Genomic DNA, 25,066 nt, shown 5'->3' with positions numbered 1-25,066 from the left:
CTGTATTGCAGAGCCAACAGAGCGTCCCAGCATGAGCTGGAAAAGGACCTGAGTGACAAACAGACGGCTTACCGGATCGACGACAAATGCCACCACCTGCGCAACACATCAGACGGTGTCGGCTACTTCCGCGGAGTGGAGAGGGTCGATGCAACGTAAGTCAGGCACACGCCACGGCTGTGATTTCGATGTCATTTAACTCTTTCTCCTTTCGAAAGGACACAGCTTACAGGTTAAAATGGAAAGCAAGGTAAGATATCTGAAGGTGAGAAACACACCCAGCTTTGGACAAGTCTCCAGTAAGCAAGCACGTTCTGTGGTCAGACCTTGATAATTGCATCCTGAATTCTTTTGTAAAGTAATATTTGTTACTTATATTTTCTAACTATGAAAATAACCCTACCTGATGCAGAAGTCCTAGAAAAACACAGACAAGGCCGGGTGCGGTGGCTCACACCTAATCCCTGCACTTTGGGATGCTGAGATAGGAGGATCAGTTGAGGTCAGGAGTTCGAGACCAGCCTGACGAACATGGTGAAACCCCGTCTCTACTAAAAATACAAAAATTAGCCAGGCATGGTGGTGGGTGCTTGTAATCCCAGCTACTCAGGAGGCTGAGGCAGGAGAATCACTTGAACCTGGAAGGAGAGGTTGCAGTGAGCCGAGATTGTGCCACTGCACTCCAGCCTGGGTGACAGAGTGAGACTCTGTCTCAAAAAAAGAAAAAAAAAAGAAAAACACAGACAAGCCACAAGTTGCCATTGTATAGCATGCCCTGGATGCTGTGGGATACAGGCTGAAAACAGCTTGATGCCTTTCCTACCACAGCTTGTTCAACTTACCCCACCAGTGGTTTCTTTGCCAGGCCCCTGGATGCAATTTTGGGCAGGATCCATGGTCTCTTCCAGCCACTTTCTTAAAAAAGTTAACTTGATTGAAATTCACATACCATACAATGCACGCAGTTGAAATATAGCCTGTCTGATTTTTCAGTAACATTGTCTGTAAAATAAATATTCTACTTTAACATGAATTTGCCTGGTATATGGATTACTTTTTTGAATGTACCATAATCAACCTTTTTGTTTTAAACTTTTGAGCATTTAGGTAGTTTCTCATTTTTCAGGGATCAGCATAAATATGGCTGAAATGAATATCCTCACACGTATATCCTTGGGTACATTGTTTCCTTATAATACATTTCTAGAAGTGGAAGTTCTGGGTTTTCCACATTTGAATGAAAGGCTGTTGGTTTGTGTTGCCTCTTTACCCTCCAGGAAGGTTGTACCAATTCAACATTCTCATCTGTAGGATACAAGAGAAACTTTTTCTAAATATGCTCGCCAGCACTGCAAATGATCATTCTCTCTACTCCTGCTAATATTTCCTTAGTAGGCTGTTTTCATTAATGCTTCTTTGATTACCCTTGAGGCTGAGTATTTTGTCATATGCTTATTGATGTGATGTGTGACACATTTATAATGAACCTACACGTTCACATCATTCATTAATCCTTTTGCCCCTTGAAACTGGCAGAAGAACCAGCTTACGCTTTAGATAAATAGAAAACTGATTAGCAGTAAAATAAGGAATAATTAAGGAAAGTTGAAAATAAGCCTCATTCTGATATTCACATTTATATAATGAAGCTAGGATCAGCGACCTGGGGGTTTCTCTCTCTCAGGATAAATGATTGCCTAGCGATCCTGTAGGCTGATTCATCACTCTCACTGTTGTCTGCTTCTGCTTCTCTTTTTCAGTGTCTCAGTGCCTGAGTCCTGGGCCAAATTTACAGATGACAATATTCTCCGCTCCCAGAGTGAACGGGCAGCTTCCGCTAAGCTAAGAGACGACATTGAAAACCTCTTGGTTGTGACTGCCAATGAGATGTGGAATCAATTCAACAAAGTGAACTTGTCTTTCACCAATCGCATTGCTGAGACTGCAGATGCTAAGAATAAGATTCAGACGCACTTAGCAAAGGTAAATCAACCGCCAGTGGTACCCCTTAGCTGACCTGGACAGAGCGGTGTGCTCTGGGACTACAAATCTCTCACCACTCCCAGAGAGGCACCATAGGCATGTGACAGCCTGGCCACACAGAGCAAGAAAAATTTAAAACAGCACAAAGCATGCCATTTATTTCAGCCAGGTAGCCAGGTGTCAAAATGAAATTGGAATCCACTGGTATTTGGAACACAAAGAAGGCACTATGTAATGAAAAGTTCTTAGTCTTTAATAGAAACAAAAATATTATTATTAAAGTTTAATGGATCGCTGTATATAACTAGGAAGTGAATTTATTATTAGAACATATGGTAGAAATGTTTTCTGTTAAAGTATTTTAGACCCCTTTTCTGGAATACAAAACCAAATACAGGAAACTGTTAGGTAGTTCAAAGTGTTTCTGATATTGAAAAATTTTAAGTGCTGAAAGCATAAGAGTTTTACAATGACTACAAAATGAAGGAGTCCAGCAGAATTCATATGTTTCAAGATAAACAAGGAGCTCTTCCTTTCCTTCATATCAGTCTTGGAGCTCTTATTGTTTCTGTGGATTATGCTGCATATAGTTTGTTGTGTCTTATTTTTTAAAATTGACAAAAAATAATTGTACATATTCATGGGTGGACAGTGATGTTTTGATACATTTAATGTATGGTGATCAGGTCAGGGTAATGAGCGAGCATATCCATCCTCTCAAACACTGATCATTTCTTTGGATTGGAAACATTCAATATCCTCCCCCTAGCTAGTTGAAACTATATAATGTATTGTTACCTATAGTAAAAACCTATGTAACGTTTCATGAATTTGCATGTCATCCTTGCTCAGGGGCCATGCCAACCTTCTCTGTATTGTTCCAATTTTAGTATATGTGCTGCTGAAGCAAGCAATGTTGTTTCTTCTTTTTAAGAACCTTGCACCATGAGCCATGTTGCCTACGATGGTTTTACCCAGTTGAGGGTACCACATTTTCTCAGGCTGCAGCGATTTACTTTTCCTTCTCATGGTGCCTGCTTTAGGCAACAAATATTAGTTGAGCCAGACAGTGTGTTCCATGCTGTGAAGAGCAGAGAGAAGCATCAAATGTAGTTTTTGTTATTAGGAAGTTTACATTACAGAGAAGAAATACTTGCACATGAAAAGCTCATAAACAATACGAATAGAATATTGCAAATCATGATTATCAAATAACAAGCACAAAAGTGTTTTTGGGGTTTGGAAGGAGAAGTGACCGTTCCAGGTGGGGCCACATCTTGAAGAAAGCCTTGGAGACAGCAAATCAGAGGATGAATTGAGGTCTGTAAAGAGTCTGGTGTGTGGCTGGTGTAGATGGTTTGTGTCCTGGGAGAGGAACATGGAAAAGTAGGTTGAAGACAGGTTGTAGAAGACGTTGATGAGAAGGTTAATGAGGTCAGACACTATCAATTGTAAGAAGACATTCTAAAGGCCTTTTAGAAGGCCGGTGTGACAGAGTTCCTTCTTCAACAAATTTTTATTTACTGATATGTTAGTTTGCCAGGGCTGCCCTAACTCAAAGTACCACAGACTGTGGTAATGAATTTCCACAATAGAAATCAATTTTCTCACTGGAGAGAGAGAAAATTAATTAATGGAGGCTGGAAGTCTGAGATCAAGGTGCCGGCAGGGTTGGTTTTCTCTGAGGCCTCTCTCCTCAGCTTGTAGATGGCCACCTTCTCCCTGTGTCTTCACATCATTTTCCCTCTGTGTGTGTCTGTGTCCAAATTTCCTCTGCTTATAAAGACACCAAAGTTGTATTGTATTAGGGCCACCCTAAAGACCTCATTTAACTTAATCACCCCCACAGAGACACTATCTCCAAATATGGTCACCTTCCAAGGCACTGGCGATTCGTACTTCAACATAGGAATTTTGGGGGAAGAGGCACTATTCAGCCCTAACAGGTACACTCAAGGTATTGTGCTAGGCACTCGGGGATGTACATACATCTCACGTCTTAGAGACAAGACATGCACACAGAAAACGGGAATTTGCATCAGAAAGGTGCAGAAAGAACTTGGAAACACAGATGAAATGTGAACACAGTTTACAAGAAGGAGCAGTTGTTTCCATTGGCAAGAGATCAAGATGGTTTCATGGAGCACATAGTATCTGAAGAAGGCCTTAGTGATAGAAACAGTGAAATGATTTTTAGCTTGGGAGAGAGGTCGAAGCTCAAGTGACAGATTGAAGAGTGCCTGGATGACACAAATGCTAAATCTGTGATTGCACGAGGTCTCTGTAGTGTAGAAAGGATATTGCAGAGACATCACCCAAGGACAAAGCCTTGCACTGGAAGGGAATGAGGAGTAGTTGGAAAGGAGGGAGTTGGAACAACACTTGGCAAGAGAAAACAAGATGAGGGTCTTAAGGAGAGGGAGGTGTCAGAGAGGCCTCGATGTCAGCTTTGAAACTGAAGTTTCATGACAGCAGCTAGGGCCAGAGACAGAATCCAGGGGCCACTGAGAGACTGGGTGGGTGGGAAGTGAAGGCAGTGGGCACAGCCATGGTTGAATACATTTGGCAGAGGACTCAGTTGGGACTGGATGGGAGAGTGGTGGTAAAAACATAGGGTTTCCAAAAAAAAGATGATTCTTGGTTGTGTCTCCAGGCCATGGAAGGGAACCCAGGAAGAGGGACAGTAATGGGGAGGATGTGGAGCTACAGGAGTGCAGAGATCAAGATGCGTGGAGAAGGGAGGCTTTTCAGAGCATAGGACAGGGACTCTCTTTACAGAGAAAGAGGAGGGAGAACCAAAGGGGGATCCATGTTTACGCAATTTGGGGTGGTGGCCTCTTTAAGAAAAAACGAATACAAAATCAGGAATACAAAACTGCCAGTACTCCTCTATTGCAAGTGAGGTACCTGAAACTGAAGCCTGATTCTCTGCAAGGGAAATCCTCTGTGAGCAGGAAAGCAATGCTCAAGTTGGTAGGAAGAGAAAGTGGGAAGAGATGCACAGATATATGGATGTGAGGAGGGAGATCAGGGCCACTCAAAGCCTCACTTTTATCAGAACACAGAGGTGTGCTGGTCAGTAATTAACAACGGCCATTGGGGGCAGCTTGCAGGGAGCCCCTAATTTGGAGCATTTGCCAATTTCTGTAGTTGAAATACTCCCACCCTGGCTGATTTCCAGCTACCAAAATGAGGTTGCCAAGCCTAGGGTTGGGGAGAGAGGCGCCGCCCACTCTCCAGAGCAGGTGCATGCCAGCTCCAGTGAGACACGTGGGTTCCCTGGGGCAGGGCTGGAAAGGATAGACGGTCTTGGTGAAGCAACTTCCTCATCAGCGAGGTCAAGGCACGTGCTGGACATGGAGTGGACAGGCAAGAGGTGGGAGGCGGGTTGTTGAAGGGACCACACCAAAGCCTCAGGCAGTTGCTTCTCTTTGTCACAGACCCTGCAGGAGATTTTCCAGACTGAAATGACCATAGAATCCATCAAGAAGGCCATCAAGGACAAGACTGCCTTCCTGAAGGTGGCTCAGACCAGACTGGATGAGCGCACAAGACGGCCGAACATTGAGTTGTGCCGAGACATGGCTCAGCTACGGTAAGGTGGGAGGGGAAGGCTCGGGGCTCGCTCGGAGGGCCACCAGACCAACTGTGGTGCCTGGCTCTTTAGAAAGCTGCTTTCTGCCCATACGCAGCATGTAGGAGCCTTCTGTGAGAATGGTAGTAATGGGGAGATGTTGAATGCAGAAGAGTTTCAGTGTGGGATGATGAAACAGTCCTGCAGATGGATGGCGGTGACGGTTGCACCAACAGTGTGAATGTACTTAATGCCACTGATCTGTACACTTAAGATTGGTTAAAGTTTTATGTTATGTATATTTTACCACAAATCCTTAAAAAAGGAAAGGACATCAACGCTACACACACAAAAAGTGCTATTAAGCCTTTAACTCATTCGGGGAGGCCAGTGTGGTGTTCGGGTTCTTTTGCATGTTCTTGGAGTCTTCGGAGTTTCCAGAACTCCTGTCTTATAAGCAGCAGTTTGTGACTTTCTGTGTATTTCTCAGCATGGGGAACGCGACAGAAAAGGGACTTTCAGTACCAATTCCACTGACTCCTATCTACTCATTTGCTGTCTTTGTGACTGAGGATCTCATTTAAGTTTATTTCAATGTGTTTCATTCTCAGTAGAAATCAAAGCCAGCTGGTCTTCATCGAGCACAGCTCCTATATATACACAGCAGGAGGAATCTGACCCCACAGTTTATCTACTAAACACTACATGAATTTTATTATTATTTTCACTTTGAAGATTCATTTTGGGATGGACTTGTAATGAACTGGCCAAGATTCCCTCCCTACCCCCGCCACAATCCGGCTTCATTTCCAATTTCCCAATACCTGTGAGTCTGCCTTTTCTTTCTGGGTTTCATCATTGCTATTCTTAGGTCCTAAGATGCTCCATGCAGAAGTAAATCAACTTGATAGCAACTGGAGGAGCCAAGGGCAGTGCGTGAACTCCAGAAGCCTTTCTGGTGCAGTGGGGAGATGCCACTCGCTCTGCTTCCACGATAAAATTCTCTTATCTTGAAGGATTGATCCTAAGGATAAAATAAAGAAATAAGTGGTGGTTTGAGACAGTGGATTTCCTGAAATGGAAGGAAGGGGGATCTTGTGAGGCCAACATTGATGATGATGATAATAATAGTAAAGATAATGATGGCGATAATCAATGCAATGATAATAATAGCTGCTACCATCTCTTAACCTGACTCGATGCTGGGCACTGCCCTAAGCACTTTATACTATCTCATTCATTACCTTCATATTACAAGTGAGGAAACTGAGGCAGGAGTGGGTGAGTGGCTTGGCCCAGGCCACATTTAGTGGTGAGAGAGCTGCAGTTTGAGTCTTTGCCTGTCTCACCCCAGAGTTCTATTCCACCAAGCCATTTGCTTCTCTTTCTCCTGTGTTTTACGTTGTGTAATGCATTTACCATCCCCCTGTCAGGTACCTGATCTCATTTGAGAAGAGTTGGCAAAGTAAATGCTGCATGCTCATCTCCCTCTCACACAGAGGATGAAACTGAAGGTCACAGAGGAGATCATTATGATGAAACACCTTACGTGTATAGCACGCATGTTGTCTGTGTTGAGTGCCATGAAGCGTGCTTTAGGTTGTACGCAAATGATCTTCATTTCCAGGATGAGTTGTATTTCTCCTGGTGGAGCTGTTATCTAGGCCATAGCCACAGAAGAGATCACTCAGGCTGCATGTTTTTCAAAGTGGGTTCCATAGAACCCCTCTTCATGCACAGCTCATTATTTAGGATAAGCAGCTCTCCACTCCAGAGACTACATGGGCCCCTAGACAGCCAACTGGAGGCACCTCTCTGCTTTAGAAGAACCCAGCAGTGAGTGCACACCCACTTGGCCTATTAGAGTTAGATCACCAGTTTTGACTTTATGTAAATGTTATTAGGAGAAGCTGAACTGATGTTTCGTTCTCCAAAAATCTCTGCAGAGTCATCAAAAGTGGAGATGGGAACAAATAAATTGTTTATACTGCCGTTAGACAGACACAGGGTTGCTTTTAAAATGAGTTTTGGGTAGTGGTCTAATAGGACTTCGGAATTATCAAACAATGAGGCATTCACAGCTTCTCCTGAGGAGCTGAATGATTTTTACTCTTTTTTTTTTTTTTCCTATTCCTGGCTAAACAGAATTTGCTTTTCTTTCACTTCCTGCCGACTTCATGGTATGTCTATTTCCTCTGCTCCTTTACTGACTTTTGAACAAAACCTACTTTTGTTTCTGTCAAGTTTTCTTGTTAAAATATCCTTGCCAAAAATCTTTAGGATTATTATTGGGGGAGGGGATTACTTTCCTTTTTAAATGGATGGTTCTGAAAGCAGCCCTTCGGCGGTCTAGATTTAGAAAAAATAAAGATCATAAACTAAGGGGAGTGGGGACTGAGAAAAATTGCTGTTTTCATTTCAAGACTTACTTTTATTTAAAAATGTTCTAAACGAGTTATTTCAAAAGTGATTCTAAACATTCTTGGCATTTTTGGTGGCAGGCCAGACAGACCAGGCTCTGCTCTACTTAAATAATCTTTATGTATATATATATGCACACACACACACACACACACACACACACACACACACACATATATATAAATAAACTGTGGTAGCTTTATTTGTATTTGAATGCAAGACATTTTGTGGTTCTGTAATTCCAAAAAAAAGAAGAAAGAAAGAGAAAGAGTGACTTCAGCAGAACAGCTCTCTGCAATCAGCCAAGAACAAGGAAACTGGGAGTGAAATAGGGCCTTGAAGATGATGAAAAATATATTTCTAATTAACGATGAGAGAAGTGGAAGCATGTTATTCCCTAGTTGTGTCCATGCAGCAGTGTGAAAACAAGTATTCTAACTGCCTACGTTCTATATCTCGATTTTTTTTTTTTTTTTAGCATTGATGTTTTGACATGTATATTTTCAAATGTTCCCTCCCAGATAAAATTTCCACTAGACTCGTATTTGGCTGAAAGGAGTAAAGACACATATATCATCCTGCTCTGTTTCCTACGTTGGGGTTCAGGGTTCCTGTTGAAGCCAGGGAGGGTGGGAGACAAGAGGCAGGCCCCGTGTGATTGTAAACAATCCACCATCAAAAATCCCATTACCAGCCATCTGCGGCAGCCTCGCCGAAGATGTATTTCTTTGCTAGTGATATTTTATACCCTGGGATCTTTAAAAAGCCTTTCTTTTTTAATTCAGTTTGGCCTAAACAATAACAAGAAATTTGCTTTCTGATGAGTTCTCAGGTTTTGTGTTTACCGTCCCCAGACAAAACCAAACTTTGGCACTTAAACTTTAATTCTTCCCCTCCCCATTGGAAAGCAGGAGACAGTAGAGCTTGTAAGATGAAAGGTGTTGCACAGCGTGGATATGTTCCCATGGCCTGTTGTTGCTTCAATCAGCCTGCGTGGGGGCCTTTACCACAGCCTTCCTCTTCTTAGGCCACCTACAAGTGGCTTGGAAGCGAATGCTCCAGGCTCCGTCCTGCCTTTCCTTCCTTTTTATTGCCTTGGGTCTGGGTCTTGTTCTTAGTAGATCCCATGGATTCAGACCTTGGGCAACTCTCTACCTCCCAAGACGTCCTCCGTTTCACCTAGGGCATGAAAGTTGGTCTTCACCCAATAAGTAGTTTTTGCACACCTGTATTTTTGCAGGAGCGGCTGTGGATGTAGCCCTGGGCAAGGACAGCAGATGTTGCAAGCAGACAATCACAAGACCCTGAGTGCCGTAAAAGGCTTGGTCCTTTTGGAAGTCACAACACTGGGCAGCAGATGGTTTCCGGTTTAAGGGAGGGACTTCCGGAAGAAGTGTTAATTCACCTAGGATTTGAGGATGGGATAAATTAGCGGGATGAAGAATGGGTTAGGAGCATTCTGAGCTTAGGGGACAGCAAGAGTGAAGCCCTCGAGGTCTGAGAAATTGCAAGCATATTCCAGGATGTGTCTGCAGATGATGAGATAGGTCTTCCTGGGTCTCTGCTTCTACTCTTCTGTCTCAAGGAGCTGAGAGGGGAATGGGGCCAGGAAATGGGACCCAGTTTCTTATTATGGCCACTGAAGCGCTGAATTTCCTTCTTAGCTTCCTGGATAAGCAGGTACAGCTTACAAACACATGTGGGCCCTGTGTCGATGGAAAGGACAGCTTATGAACCCCTGGGCTCTATTTCCTAGTCTGTAAAACAAGGAAGTTGGGCTTGGTGACCTCTCTAAATTCGTTTTCCAGTTGTGAATTTCTGTGAAACTATAGAATTGCCTTGGCATAATGATTTTAAAATGGTCTAGATATTTTTCTATAATTATGAAATCCTTTTCTATCTCCTGGGACATCTACATTCCCATTGGTTCATTGTCACCATTCTCTTTATATTTCTTTATATTTTATTAATTTCATGCACCTCTCATTTGCTGATAAATATATCCTAAAGTAAAGAAAATGTGAGCTTTGCATCGCTGGTTACAATGTGATGTACTTGGAGTTGCGTAAGCTACATGCTGACCTAACCATGCTGATTCCTTTATGCTGCAGCCTTGTTAACGAGGTACACGAGGTTGACGACACCATCCAGACCCTGCAGCAGCGCCTGAGGGATGCAGAGGACACCCTGCAGTCGCTGGTCCACATCAAAGCCACACTCGAGTATGACCTGGCTGTCAAAGCCAATTCCCTGTACATCGACCAGGAAAAATGCATGAGCATGCGCAAGAGCTACCCCAACACCCTCCGGCTGGTCGGCTTCTGCTAGGGACCCCACCGGGTGTGGTTTTGATACCCCTAAGTTAAGGCTGAGCCAGAGCACTGTCTCAGCATTTGAACCGAATGCTAATATAGTCACTTATTAAAGGATTATGCTGATGGAAATGTACCAACCTCCTGTCTCGGAAAGCCTTTTGTTTGCATCCAAACCTTAATTTTCTATTATTTACTAGGCGTCTGGGTTATGGGAAGGATATGAAGAAATATAATCAATCTAATAGAGAAGGTAAAAAGGATAACTGGTGTGATTCTTGTCATTTTGTGTGTAATCCGAATGGGCTGGAAAGGAGGACTGTATTCTCTCTGAGGCAGTCAGGAATCATGAAGTAGGTGGTTTCTGAGTTTTGCTTTAAAGGATCCACAGTAAGAAGGGGAAAGGCCACTGGGTATGAGGTAGTTGGGGTAATTTGATCAAAAACAAAGGTAGAGAAATACGGAGTGCATTTGGAACAATAGTAGGTAGGGCCAGCTTGGCTGTGATTCATAATGCATAATTCATAATGTGTTCTGCACGTCTCTTTTTGTTCCACTCTCATCTCTCCAATTCAAACTTTTATTACTTGAGCATTGCTTTCATAAAGCCATTTCCATGCTCAGAGATACTCCTCAGTTCCCCCAGCCCCTGAACCTGGAGTTGAACACCCACTGCCCCCCTTCTCCAGGCACCTCGCCCACTGTATTTCTTCATATGTGACACTTTTGTCCTATGTACTGACAATATATTCTTTATATGTTACTTACCTTCACATTTTGTTTATGGTTTTTTAAAATACACAAGTAAAAATGTGTCAGTGTTTTCTGTGTGATTTATGCCTTTGGAATTATGCTCAGAAAGCACTTCTGTATCCCAAGATAATTTATTTATAATTTATTCTAATTCTTTTGTATGTTTAAAAGTGGCATTTAATCACCTGGAAAGTATGTTTAGATGGTGTAGAAAGCATGCTAGTTTTGAATCCTTTTGGTCTGAGAGCTCTGAAATGGGAAGATGAACCAGGAGGGGAGCAAGATTTTCTTTCTTTTCTCTCCTATTTCTCACGCTTCTGTGTCTCTCTCTCTTATTAGCATTTCTCTCTGTATCCTTGTGTTCTCCTTGCTCTGCCTTAACCACTGTCCATTAACCCCAACTCCATTTCCTTCTCTCTCTCTGTTTCTTAAAAGTGTTTTAAGACCTTGGTTAGTAAATTTCACAAATCATCTCAGAATGCCAGAAGAGTGGATGTCCAGATGAGAAGCTTGTATTGGGGTTGTGCTGTGGTCTCAGTATATCATTTTAGAAATCAAATTGTAGGTTTAGTTGTTCTGTTTTTGCCTCTAATGGAAACAAAGGTATATAAATGCCACTAAAATTTTTAGCAATGAGAGTAACCAAATGTTGGTAGTTATGACTTTTAGACAATAGTGGGAATAAACATAAATTCAGCATGTCTCTTATTTGTTATGTGTTTGGGGTAAAACATTTCTGACTTTTTTCATGAACTGTATTTTTTTTTTTTTAGGAATATATGCTTATGCAGTCCTTTTACTGAAGCATATATATTCCTGGCATTACAAGACTGTGATGGGAAGGAAATGTAATTCAGACATAGAAAAGTTTTTTTTGTTATTTTGGTAAACCGTGGGCAAGGCTAAATTCCACAAATAAACATTTGGTTTCTCATCTAAAATGTTGCAGCTACTCCAGGAGGGTAAATATTCTAATGCTGAAGTCCAAGAGCTCCAAGGCTCAGAAGCGTGGTCCTGTTTAAGAATCTTAGGACTACAAATACTGGCACATGATCTGGCTTTATTTATTTAAGCCCAAACTATCTTTAATATCATGTGGCTTTAAGAAGGGCTGCTGGAATGTCAAAGGCTTCCACTTACCCAAGCATCATTCAGATTTAGAAATGTGTGTAATTGCCCCTAAATAACCGAGTCGCCTGTAATTTTAGTAATTTCCATTTCTGTCTCCGGAGAGTGTTGTCATAAACACCTCACCTGGCACTTTTGAGTCCTGAGTTCATGCTGTAAATAGCTGAAGTGTGGGGTCTGATTTTAGGTTATAATTTTTGTTTTGCACCAGAAACGGGCGGATTCCTTCCCTTTGTATGCAGGGCTAACCCAAAGCACAAAGGAGGAGGTGAAGCTGCTGCTCATCATTGTGCCCGAGTCTTCCCTTGCAGCCTCCCCTCTTCTAGCCCTGGCCCTGAAACTGTTCCCAGCAGGGCTGGATTCACCATTGGCACCAACTGCCAAGACCAGCCTTCTATGCAGAGTGCTCTGATGATGCTATCTGAGCTCTATATTAATATATATGGTCTGATAAGTATTCATGCATTCATGGGGAAAATAAACAATACTCAATCTCTTCCCCAGGAATGGTGAATCAATTCACCTTGGGGGCCAGTCCTAGACCACTGGGAATGTTTATCTGGAAGGTTGAGTTGAGAAGGATCCTGAGAGGTCAACAGATAGTGCCATATGAAATGGGTGCTGTGGCTCCTGCTGAAGTCCAAGAGCTCCAAGGATCAGAAGCGTGGTCCTGTTTAAGAATTTTAGGACTTCAGCATTTTGGGAGGCTGAGGCAGGAGGATTGCTTGAGGCCAAGAGTTCAGGACCAGCCTGGGCAACATAGGGAGACCCCATCTCTCTACAAAATAAAAAAAATTAACCAGGCATGGTGGCACACACCTGTGGTCCCAGCTACTTGAGGGACTGAGGTGAGAGAATCACTTGTGCCCAGAAGGTCAAGGCTGTAGTGAGCCATGATCATGCCACTGCTCTCCAGCCTGGGCTACAGAATGGGACAGTTCCATCTGCAGGGAATCCAGAATGGGGAAGTGGCTGCATACATTCCCTCATCCCTCTCTCTAAACAGCTCTGAATTCTTTCTCAGCTCAGAGAAATCCTTGGCTTTCAACATCAGAAGGATGTGTCTTGTGACCTCTGGCTCATTCCCATAGGACCTACCCATTTGCTAATTTTGCTAGGAGCTAGAAGGAGACCCTTTCTGCAGCCCACGTTTTCCTTTTGGCAAGGAAAGACCCCTAAATACATCACCATGACTCCTGAACAACTCAGATGGCATCATGGTAGAGTGAGGGGAGAGCTTATTGAGAACAGGGAGCCTTTCATAGCTATTCTAAATAATATCCGCTTGTGTATGCATAGGGCTGTGGGAACCATAAAAATAACTTTTATTTTGCAAGCACTTTTTTCCCTCCCTGTAAAGTAAAGGTTAATTTTTAAGGTGATGTGAAATCTTTGGACTAAGTTTCAGCATTCCCGTCTTTGGCATTTTAGCCCTGCAGTCACTCAGACATAAGAATGCCTTCCCTACTTCCATAAAAATGATGCTCTGCTTGCCCGAGAACCTGCTCTTTAGCAAAACTGCACATTTTCTGATAATAAAAATCCATATCTGTATTGAGGGCCACCCATTTATTTGCAACGAGCTGGTTGTCTTCATCTCTCAACCCCAGTGCTCTTCATGGGTATAGCAAGGACAGGGGCTCCTGAAGAGAGAGGAGGACAAGCAACCTGAGAGGAAAATAATAAGCCAGGTCCACAGACAACACCCATGAGCACCACATGTAGCACAGTCTGAAAGATTAACATATTGATGCTTTGCAGCAGTGCTGGAAGGGGCGACCAAATTTCCCAGTTCCCTAAGGTGGATATCATAGATATTGGTGGGAAATATCTGTGGGAAAATAACCATGCCTCCAAATACTCATGTCCTTGTGAAGTCTTCCCTCCTTGAATATAGGCGGACTCTGTGATCACTTGGACCAATAGAGTGCAATGGAAGTAACACTGTGTCAATTCTATGTCTAGGCTTTAAGAAGGCCTGGAAGCTTCTGCTTTTGGAAGCTAGCTGCCATATAAGAAATCTGACTAGCCTGAGTCCACCATGCTGTGAGGGAGCTTAAGCAGCCCACGGAGAGGCTCCCCAGCCAACAGCCCTAGATGAGCTCTCAGGCTAGGCAGGCACCAACTGGTAGCCATGTGAGTGAGGCCATTTGGGATCTTCCCACTCTCCTAGTGCCCCAGCTGATACCATGTGAGAGAGAAGGGCTGCTCAGTCAACCCACAGAATCTCAAGAAATAATAGATTGTTGTCTTAAACTACTAAGTTCTTAGGTAATTTGTTACGTGACAATAGACAACTAAAGTTTTCACTGGATTCTCAGAAATCAAATTCCTGGAGAGGAAGGACATCTAACATTTGTGGAGTGCTTACTATGATCCCAACATATAACATGACAATCTCCTGAGTCCTCTTGGCTGATACTAGGATGTGAGCTCTTAACTACCATCCTATACTGTTTTTTTTTTTTTTTTTTTTTTTTGAGACGGAGTCTCGCTCTGTCGCCCAGGCTGGACTGCGGACTGCAGTGGCGCAATCTCGGCTCACTGCAAGCTCCGCTTCCCGGGTTCACGCCATTCTCCTGCCTCAGCCTCCCGAGTAGCTGGGACTACAGGCGCCCGCCACCGCGCCCGGCTAATTTTTTGTATTTTTTAGTAGAGACGGGGTTTCACCTTGTTAGCCAGGATGGTCTCGATCTCCTGACCTCATGATCCACCCACCTCGGCCTCCCAAAGTGCTGGGATTACAGGCGTGAGCCACCGCGCCCGGCCCCTATACTGTTAATTGGTCTCTGAGAGGAGAGTAATCCCAGACAGTGGTTCCCTTCTCAGCAACAACAAAAAATGTGTAAAATGATTGCATTATTGGAATTAGATCTGAGGACAGAAGCATTTAAGAAATTTTTACTTTTGGAAAATGTGTATAAAATTAAAACATGAGTGGGATCCAGCTTCTGTGTCATTGATCCTATCTTGAGATTGATACATGTAATGATAATGATAGCCAGCTTTTCCTGAGCAGAACAACTGTACGTGTATTATTTCAACATCATGGCTAAGGTACATACATTTAATTATTTATATTCTAAAATGGGAAAATTGAGACTTAGGGAAGGAAAATAACCCAAAGCCAAACAGGGGCGCATTTCAGAGTCAGGAGTTCAACTCAGATGAGCTTGCTTCCAAAGCTCTTTGCTATCATCCTACAGTGCCTTCTTCTAAGCTGTTTAGAATGAATTAGACATCCTCAAAAGTTGTGTTTTTAAAGGAAATTATTTTAAAACCAATGTTTTAATATCCCAACAGATATTCATGAAGGTGTAATATTTTATTATAAATAATCAATACCATCAGTACAATAAATGTTACCATAGTATTGCCAAGTCTTAGCTCTAAACTTCTTTGATTCTATCTTTAAGTAGAATTTAAGTATAAGAACTGAGTATCTATGTACTCTGTTTTTTCAGATAGAGAAAACCATTCCCTGACAATTTGATAAAAGGTATATGGAGGCTAGTCCCACAACTCATCAATGTCAATGGGTATTGCCAACAGGATGCCAGAAGAGATTGAGTGAGGTACAGTTATTTGATTTCCAGAACTCTGTCATTGAAAACCAACCTAGCCATAAGTGGCCTAGACTACTAAACTATTTACAGCATTCCACCTCCTTAGTCCCTTGTGGATGAGTGGATCCATGTGACCGAGCATAAGGGATGTGAGTCACTTCAGACTTGCATATTTAATTGCCAGTGTGAGATTGTCCAAAGATTTCTTCCTTTTGACATGACAACCGAGAACATTTGAGATATTCTCTGAGCCACCACAATAAACAGAACTTACTTGCTGACCCACTGCAGCCATTCAACATGCGAAAGAAATATATTCGTGCAGTCGTAAGCCATGGACACTATGGAGTTGTTACTGCAGCCTAACCTAGCCTATCCTGACTGATGCACCAACCAGAAGAAACAGCTGAATGCAGGGACTATAACATGAATGGTCATTTTCCACTCTGAAATTCAGACTGTTTAGTTCCCCAGAGTGCAGGTAGTGCTGGCTAGGCAATTGAGCACATCCCATCCCTAGAAATAGCAGGCTAAAATGAAATAGTTTTCAGCCGGGTGCAGTGGCTCACGCCTGTAATCCCAGCACTTTGGGAGGCCGAGGCGGGTGGACCACTTGAGGTAGGGAGTTTGAGACTAACTAGCCTGACCAACATGGAGAAACCCCGTCTCTATTAAAAATACAAAATTAGCCAGGTGTGGTGGTGCATGCCTATAATTGCAGCTACTTGGGAGGCTGAGGCAGGAGAATTGCTTGAACCTGGGAGGCGGAGGTTGTGGTGAGCGGAGATTGTGCCGTCACACTCCAGCCTGGGCAACAAGAGAGAAACCCCATCTCAAAAAAAAAAAAAAAAAAAAAGTTTGTACCTATTTAGGAAACAGGACAAAGCAAGGCCCTCTAAGCACAGAATAGCCAGCCCAGAGGTGCAGGTATTTCTAAGACTATGAGAGCCAAAACAACCCAAGGCGCTTTAGTGTTAAAACACTCAGAAGCTATAGAGTGGGGATGGCAAGCTCAAACGCTTATGGGGCCAGCCAGGAGATATAAGCGAAGGTTATTCAGCTTTCCTGGTATCACTTTACTATAACAGAAACAACAGTGAGGTTCAGTGGCAGCTGAACTTCAGCTGCTGGGTTGGAGAAACAACAAGGAGTTTTAGGGGAGCAGAGAGCAGGCCTCAAATAAGCAGACCTGAAGAACGTGTGCCCAGACTAAAGAGGGAGCCTCTATTCTGCTCTGGAATGTGCCCTGTGTGGCTGGAACTGCTGTACCCTGCTGTTGAGGTTATTGAAACCCTGGTAAGAAACAGAAAGCTCTGGCTTGGAGATTGAAATAATACTATGATGTCTTCAGATGCTTATTTTACAAAGCAACTTAAGAAGGATAACAGTAGAGACGGGTGCCCCAGTTTAGTCCTAGAGCTTAGGTTTGTTTTATTCATACTTCAAATTGCAGTGTCGGTGGCCACACTGGGCCTGAGATGAACTGAGGCCCAGAGATGCAAGAATGTACCAGCTGGGACAGGTAACATGATGTGGTTTTAATTTATAGCACCAGTGTACAGTCCAATAGAAAATGGGAGATTGAGTCATTCTGGGGGACTAGACCTGTAAAATTAACTTTAAAAGTATATGTTGTTAGAAATCAAGAAATATGACCTAACCCATAGTGCAATACCTGTTCATTCATGTCTACAAAAGCAGCATTATAGTGTAGCTTAATTCTATTCATAAAAAATAAAAGAAGCTTGACATTCTCTAACACAAAATTTGAGCTGTCAATTGGGCAAACAGAGGAAGAGGCACATGAGCCGAAGACATGGGCCTTACTACAAATTCCAAATGGATAATACAAAAGGTCTTGACGGCACGTAGTCTTGTGATTCTTTACCTTTGCATGATTTTACAGAAGACTGCGCGGTTAGAGTGTAATTTTGAGTTGAAGAGACATCAAATTAAAATTTAATAACCAGATTGGCATTAGTGAAATACTCTGGCTCAGTAAAGAGAACAAAACAACTAGAGAATTATACTAGTCAACAAAATCCATCCCATGATGAGAATGAGAAGCTCTGTAGCGTCAGTTATGTGATGGATATAATCAAGGCAGCTGCTTATTTTAACATTTAAACCATATCTATATATTTATTTCTGTATATCCATATATATGGATTTTTTGGGTATAGCATCCTTGTTTTTAAGAATTTGAGTTTTAATTTTTTTATGGCCAGGAAGGTGAAGCAAATATATAATATTAATTTACATATATTTTTTCTTTTTTTCTCTGTCCATATTACCTGCATAGCAAATGACTTACATTTTATATCTTAATATTATATAAAATTGTATGACAACATAGAAATATATTACCCTTTTAAGATGATGAAACATTACAGATGAGGCTAAACTCTTTTTTGACCTCTACCACCCCAGTCATAGCCTCTCTCTCCTCAGTTAAATACTGTTATCAGTCAGATGAGACACGCTTATGTTTTTAGTTGTAAAGGCTGCATTGCTTGGCCTTTCGGAAGCCATTGCTATGTCTTTCAAAATAGAGGTTGGAAACCCGTAAGACTTCTTTGAGGAATAATCTAATGAAGTCTTTTTTCGTAATCAATAAAACTCCCTGAAAAATATATAAGCAAGTCAAATTCAGTGGCAAGTGAGAAGAATACACTGAGACCCAGTAGGAACAATAGGATGGTCCAATAATATACAAATAGATCCAAATCTTTGGATTTACTGTCTCCCTGCTCTCGGGCTGGTTGAATCAGGTGTCCTGAGTGACACTAGGCTGGAAACTGGATTTGGACTGGGAATTGTGGTATGCTCGCCTCCAGAGTCATCCTCCTCCTGTCCCCCCTGCCAATCCTTTGAAGAGATGGTCTGTAGAAAATTGCAATTCATCCATTTATTCACGGATTCAATAAACCAATTTTTACTGAACACCCTCTATGTGCTAGTGCTTTATGAGATCATGAAAATAATATGATGAATGAGACAGAAATGGGGTCTGTCCTCACAGAGCTTACAGTCAGTGGATTATACTGGCAACCAATAATCATACAAAGAACTATGTTAATTATGAGAATTTGTAAGGACTTGAGTGTTTGGGCCTTGGGAGGCTTTTCAAAGTTGGGACATTTAAGCAATTATCTGAAAGGTGAGAAATCAATATGCAACACGATGGCAGTGGGAGAGCCCCCATGGGTGTTCTAGATAGAGAGAAACACATTTTAAAAGACCCTGAAAATTTGAGTAGCTATCTATAGGAGTTATGTAGGGGCAGGGCCAGCTTCATTGGTGTGAGACTCAGAAGGGTCTATGCTTGGTTTAGTGCTTTATTCTCACCATCTTGAAATTCTATGTATTTATTTATTTATTTTTGAGATGGAGACTAGCTCTGTTGCTCAGACTGGAGTGTAGTGGCACGATCTCGGCTCACTACAACCTCCGGCTCTTGGGTTCCAGTGATTCTCCTGCCTCAGCCTCCTGAGTAGCTGGAATTACAGGCACGTGCCACCACACTAACTAATTTCTGTATTTTTAGCAGAGATGGAGTTTCACCATGTTGGCCGGGCTGGTCTCAAACGCCTAACCTCAGGTGATCCACCCGCCCTGGCCTCCCAAAGTGCTGGGATTACAGGCGTGAGCCACCATGCCCAGCCCATCTTGAAATTCTTAATAATTTTTGAACAAAGAGCCCTGCATATCCATTTTGCACTGGGCGCCTCAAATTATGTAGCCAATCCTGGGTGTGCGAGTGGGATCTGGAACCCTTTGGAGGGTTTTAAGGCAAGGAGTGACATGAATCTTGAGTCCTGCAGGAGCACTGTGGTTGTGCTGTGAAGAGTGAAAAGATGGACATAGGTATTGCCCTCGAGGAACTAAGGGTAAGGCTGGTAATGCCAAATCCAGCCAAGGCATTTGTTAATAGTAACACATTATAGAACTATATTGAAGGGGATCTGGGGAAATTGGAGGTCCGGCAATCATCTGATAATATCTCCTCGTTGGGATAAGCTATAATCTCTTATACATTGCCTCCCAATCTCTTTCCCTGAGCTAAATACCATGCAGCTCCCTTTGCCTTTTTGACTGAAGGCTCGATTTCTTACATCGATTAAGAAGCTTAAAAACCTGAAAGCTGGCCAGGTGCGGTGGCTCACGCCTGTAATCCCAGCACTTTGGGAGGCCGAGGCGGGGGAATCACGAAGTCAGGAGATAGAGACCATCCTGGCTAACTCGGTGAAACCCCGTCTCTGCTAAAAGTACTACTCGGGAGGCTGAGACAGGAGAATGGGAGCGAGCCCGGGAGGCGGAGCTTGCAGTGAGCCGAGATCACCCCACTGCACTCCAGCCTGGGCGACAGAGCGAGACTCCGTCTCAAAAAAACAAAAAACAAAAAACAAAACCTGAAAGCCATAACTTCCCATTTGAAGCCTCAGATTATCTTTTAGAATTGCTTGGTATCTTTGGCTGAACACTAGGGGCTCCTGTGTAAGGTGGGGCTACCTTTCCAAGGTAGCCTTTTCCTCTTCTTTCCTATCATTCAATGAGCCCAGATGATTGCAATGGGGTCTTTTAGTTGTTTGTCTGAATCCCTACTAATCGAGTTCCATGGACACACTGGAGTAATCTAGAGACAGAGGCTGTCTCCTCTGCCAAATGCAGTGTTTCTGTTGTCTGTGTAGCTTCTGTTCTAGGCATTTCCCATAAATAGTATTTAATGACATTATTGGCAGACACACCACCCTTCTTGTAGTGTTTTATCTATCAGCACTGTCCAATAGGGCTTTCTGCAATGATGGGAATATTCTACATCTTATCTGTCTGAATGACAGCCACTAGCCACGTGCGGCTATTGAACACTGACCAGAGCACCCCATGAAAATTTAGGGCACTAAAGCTTAGCAAGGTTATATAGTTGTTGAATGTGATGCAGTCAGAATAGGGCAAATCTGAACCTAAACCAAGATCTGTTCATTCTCAGTGATCTTTTCTCTATACAATGAATGGGTGGTCTCATGCAACAATTCATTTGCAAAGTCTTACAGAACACCTATTACATGTAATGGTCATTTTGGGGATGCCAAGAAATAAATAGCTCCAATGGGTCAAAAGGGGTGACCAAGAAGAAAGGAAGAGAGAATCGCTTTGTTGATCTCCACGAGCAGAGAAGAAACAAAGGAGGGTCCCTGTGTTGACCTCTGAGAAGATGGAAGAAGGAAGGGAGGGGAGCCCTTTTGTTCACCTTCTGAAGTCCAGGGGTGTTACCATTACTGTTGTACAGTGTAGCCACGTTCTGCGTCTATGTTCAACAAGCAAGATCCTTGATCACTGGAGGGTCTTCATCGTTTGACACATACAGGCTACATGTAGGAAATCCCACTTACGCCACCCAAGGTCTTTGATGAGAGTGAGGCTGAATAACCTGCCCAAGCCCACATAGCCACTGCGAGACCAAGTCCAGCTTGAAATCCAAATCCTGTTGACTTCAGTATCAATCAGGGTGGCAGTGAGTACAGATGCTGCAAACAACGTCTGTGCACTGACACCAGGGTTCTTGGGTGCCAAGGTAAGAAATTTTGATTAATCCTGTTGGGATCAGGAAGCCAGAAAAGCTTTTAATAGAAGCCTCCATGGAACCTACTTAGGAAGTAGGAAGAATAAGCTAGCGGAGGCAGCAGAGTGGAAGGAGGAGAAATCACGTGGTAAGGGTTTGTAAATTAGGGGCTCCTTTCACGCACATCCAGAAGATGTCTTGGAGGTGCTGGGGACAATGGTGCCATCGGAGTGTCAAGGAGAGGAGCTGTTCTGGGAGACCACAGGAAGATGGGCAGTTCCTTTTAGACCAGGAGGTGTTAGCTGACAGTAGACCACGCTGTGAAAACGTTCAGCTGGTCCTTGATGAACACAAGCCACGTGAACTAAACCAACTCATACTCTCAGGGTTTGGGGGTGTCTTAGTCTGTTTGTGTTGTCTGAGACTGGGTAATTGATAAAGAAAGAGATTTATGTAGCTCACAGTTCTAAAGGCTGTAAGAAGCACGGTGCCAGTATCTGCTTCTGGTGAGGGCTTCAGGAAGCTTCCACTCATGGCAGAAGAGGAAGGGGAACCGGTGTGTCCCATGATGAGAGATGGAGCAAGAGAGAGAAAAGAAGATGCCAGGCTCTTTTCAACAAGCAATTCTCTTGGGAACTAAGAATGACACGTTACCCACTCCTGAGAGAATGGCACCAAGCCATTCATGAGGGATCCGTCCCTATGACCCAAACACCTCTCACCAGGCCCACCTCCAACAATGGGGATCAAATTTCAGCAGGAGACTTGGCCAGACCAAACAAACCATATCCAAACCACAGGAGGCGGGGAGCAAGGTTAAGGAATGTGTGCAAGGCGCCCCCAGTCACACTTGAAGTGAAGTGTGTACAGGCAGCACACATGCAGGAAAAGCAAGAAGGCAGAGAAGTTCCCAGCAGGAAAGTCAGAGGAGGTCCAGGGTAGCTAGTGGAGAGAGGGTACCAAGGTGGGTGTGCTGAGGGGCAACATTATATAAGGGAGGTGCGGGAGGCTGAAGATCAGAAATAGAGTTGAAGGACAAGAAGGAGGTCACTGATAACTTTTAATAGTTCTCTTTGGGGAGTGCAGTGTACCCAGATAACACAGGAATTTAAGGGAAAGAGGAGCACGTTCCATGGCAGCAGGGGCGGATCGGCAGTGAAAGGAAGGAGAGAAAAGCAGCAATCAGAGAGACAATGAAGTCAATGTGAGTTGCTTTGACACAGAGAAAGCTGTTCATGTGTGCAGGCTTGCAGAGGGCAAGAAAGTAAAGCATGTATAATACAGCATATATTATCTTCTAGTGATAGATGAAATACTTCATAATAACTTTGAAGTTATTTTTAAGGTAAGATTTCTCTCATTATCTTTAAAAAAACTTTTCATCCATTTTCACTTGATTATTATTCCAGAAGCAGTATTTTTAAACTATAGTAATTATGACTGGGATAGACAGACAGATCAATGAAATAGAAAGTCCAAAAATAGGCGCACATGTGTGTGTGGATCCAATAAAATCCACGGTTCATAACGATGAAGAAAAGGATGGATGACCTAATAACTGGCTTTTTGGAAAAAAAATTAGAGTGTAATTTCATTTGATATGCTAATATAAATTTCAGATGATCATGGACTTTAAAAAGTCATGAAAGTACTAAAAAGTAAATTTAATGTTAATCTAAGCATATCAAAAACATAGAATCCTAGCTCACAATTGTAGGCCATTCAGACCGAAGGAAATTTTAGGTGGCTCTTTCAGAAATCACCTGACGAAGAACTAAATAGAATATGGTGAGAAACTGTTCTGTACTCCCTGCATCCATCTGAACATTTAGAAGTGCAGTAAGAGTGTATTAAACTCAAAAGCTGGAAGGTAGCAGTGAATGGTTCCTAACACACTTTTTATTTGAATTGGGCTTTGGAATTTTTCAAATTCCATGGCATCCTTCAGTTACAGTTTTGAAGTATTGTGTACCCAACAACATGCCACTACTCTCTTCCTCTAGTAATTGAAGAAAATCATCAAATATCTGAAAGGAGTCAAATTCTTAGCAATTAAGTCATCTGCATCCAGCGTCCATCTCTAACAATCCTCATGAATTGCCAAATACATTGCTAAGATATTCCACGTGCCACATGGACAAATCACTTGATATTATTTAAAGGGCCTTAACTGATATTATCAGTGCCACGTAGTAATAATGCCTTAAAAAACACACGCACACACTCATAGCTGGCTGTGGCAGCTCACGCCGGTAATACCAGCACTTTGGGAGGCCAAGGTGAGTGGATCACTTGAGCCCAGGAGCTCAAGACCAGCCTGAGCAACAAAGTGAGATCCCCATCTCTACAGTAAATAAACAAACAACAACAACAAAAACCTCACAACCACTCATTCCTACTTTGAAATCCTCATTTGGGTACCCCTTATCCTAACAGTCTGTGTGGAAAATAAATTTTATATTCTGCCAATACCTTCACACTATGCACTCAGAAGGTATATATACACCAAATAGGCATTGCTTCGTTTTAATTTCCAATCTGAATGTACTTCCTTCATTATTGCATCACAATTAATATGTATAATGTTGAATACCAAGTAGTGAGAAGACTGACATTGAAAAACAACTTTTTTTTTTTTGAGATGGAGTCTCGTTCTGTCATCAGGCTGGAGTGCAGTGGCATGATCTCGGCTCACTGCAACCTTCACCTCCCGGGTTCAAGTGATTCTCCTGCCTCAGCCTCCCAAGTAACTGGGATTACAGGTACGTGCCACCACGCCAGGCTAATTTTTTGTATTTTTAGTAGAGACAGGGTTTCACCTTGTTAGCCACGATGGTCTCGATCTCCTGACCTCGTGATATGCACGCCTTGACCTCCCAAAGTGCTGGGATTACAGGCATGAGCCACTGCGCCCGGCCGAGAAGCAACTTCTTTTATTGTCACGGCATCTCCTTTCCTCAGTGCCTACGTAGCTAGTTTCCATGTATCCTGATTTCAACACACATTTTCCAGTCCTTACCATGACTCACACCATAATTGTTAACTAAAACAAACACCTCGTCTTTTGTAACGTAAGTTTCCAACAGGAAAACACCACCAGCCATTTTTTTCCTTGAATATATATCACTCTTAGTCCAAGAGTGAGTTCCAAATTTGCTATATCAGTGGTTTAATCCAACCATAAACCAAAAGCAAACACAAGTATGTGACGTTGCTCATTGTATGCTGTGCATACGCACTTTATATGCTATTAATACTCTGCCTCATCCAACTTATGTCTAATGGTTAAAGAGTTCTGTCAGTCACTACGTATCACTCAGAGTGGACTAAGTTATGCTGCAGTAACAAATGACCTCCAAATCTTACTCAGACAAGTTCATACCTAGCACAGATCTCCTGAAGGCTCTGCTGCTTGCCTTCCACACTCTGGGACCCAGGCTGGCGGAGCCGCCATTACTGGAACAGTGCCAAGTTGTCATGGCGGCAAGGGGAGAGACAGCATGGTACATGGCAGACCAACTCTTCAAGCTGTGTTTCCACTCTCATTTCCTGAAGCCGGTTATAGGGTCATGTGTCACTTTATGGGCAGCAGAGAGATGCAATCTCTTGATGAGCTAGAGAAACGTAGTGAACAGCACAAATGATTTCCACAAGCGTATGCTGTTTCCTTTCTGAGCAGAAATGTTCAAAAACTAATGAAACTGGTTTTACAAACTTTGGGGGATTATTTTGACCTAAACCTGTGTGTGCTTTGGAGAAGGATTTG

General features: G+C 42.9%; 1 protein-coding gene, 1 long non-coding RNA gene and 1 pseudogene across 8 annotated transcripts in view; 1 reads left to right on the top strand and 2 right to left on the bottom strand.

Annotated features, from left to right (window-relative positions):
* The window catches only part of TEKT3 (tektin 3), a 39,860-nt gene extending 29,430 nt beyond the window's left edge, over window positions 1–10,430 (top strand). For all 6 annotated transcript variants that reach the window (XM_017024954.2, XM_011523989.2, XM_017024955.2 and 3 more), the window contains 4 exons: window positions 12–155; window positions 1,761–1,983; window positions 5,424–5,578; window positions 10,090–10,430. In XM_017024954.2, coding sequence (XP_016880443.1) covers window positions 12–155; window positions 1,761–1,983; window positions 5,424–5,578; window positions 10,090–10,306 — 739 coding nt within the window. In that variant the 3' untranslated portion in view covers window positions 10,307–10,430. The remainder of the gene's footprint in view (window positions 1–11; window positions 156–1,760; window positions 1,984–5,423; window positions 5,579–10,089) is intronic.
* Window positions 2,219–24,979, bottom strand: LOC124903932 (uncharacterized). Of its 2 annotated transcripts, XR_007065633.1 has the most exons (4): window positions 24,683–24,979; window positions 9,205–9,383; window positions 6,382–6,581; window positions 2,219–3,064 (listed from the first exon to the last, which is right to left on the bottom strand). It is a non-coding gene; the product is annotated as an uncharacterized LOC124903932 (long non-coding RNA). The 2 variants fall into 2 exon arrangements; XR_007065634.1 differs by lacking the exon at window positions 9,205–9,383.
* Window positions 2,790–2,896, bottom strand: RNU6-799P (RNA, U6 small nuclear 799, pseudogene; annotated as a pseudogene).
* Window positions 24,980–25,066: the final 87 nt, after the last annotated feature.

The sequence above is a fragment of the Homo sapiens genome, chromosome 17 (genome assembly GCF_000001405.40).
Source record: "Homo sapiens chromosome 17, GRCh38.p14 Primary Assembly".
NCBI lineage: Eukaryota > Metazoa > Chordata > Mammalia > Primates > Hominidae > Homo > Homo sapiens.
The sequence above is the reverse complement of the archived record's forward strand: the minus strand, read 5'-3'. Positions and strand labels throughout refer to the sequence as shown.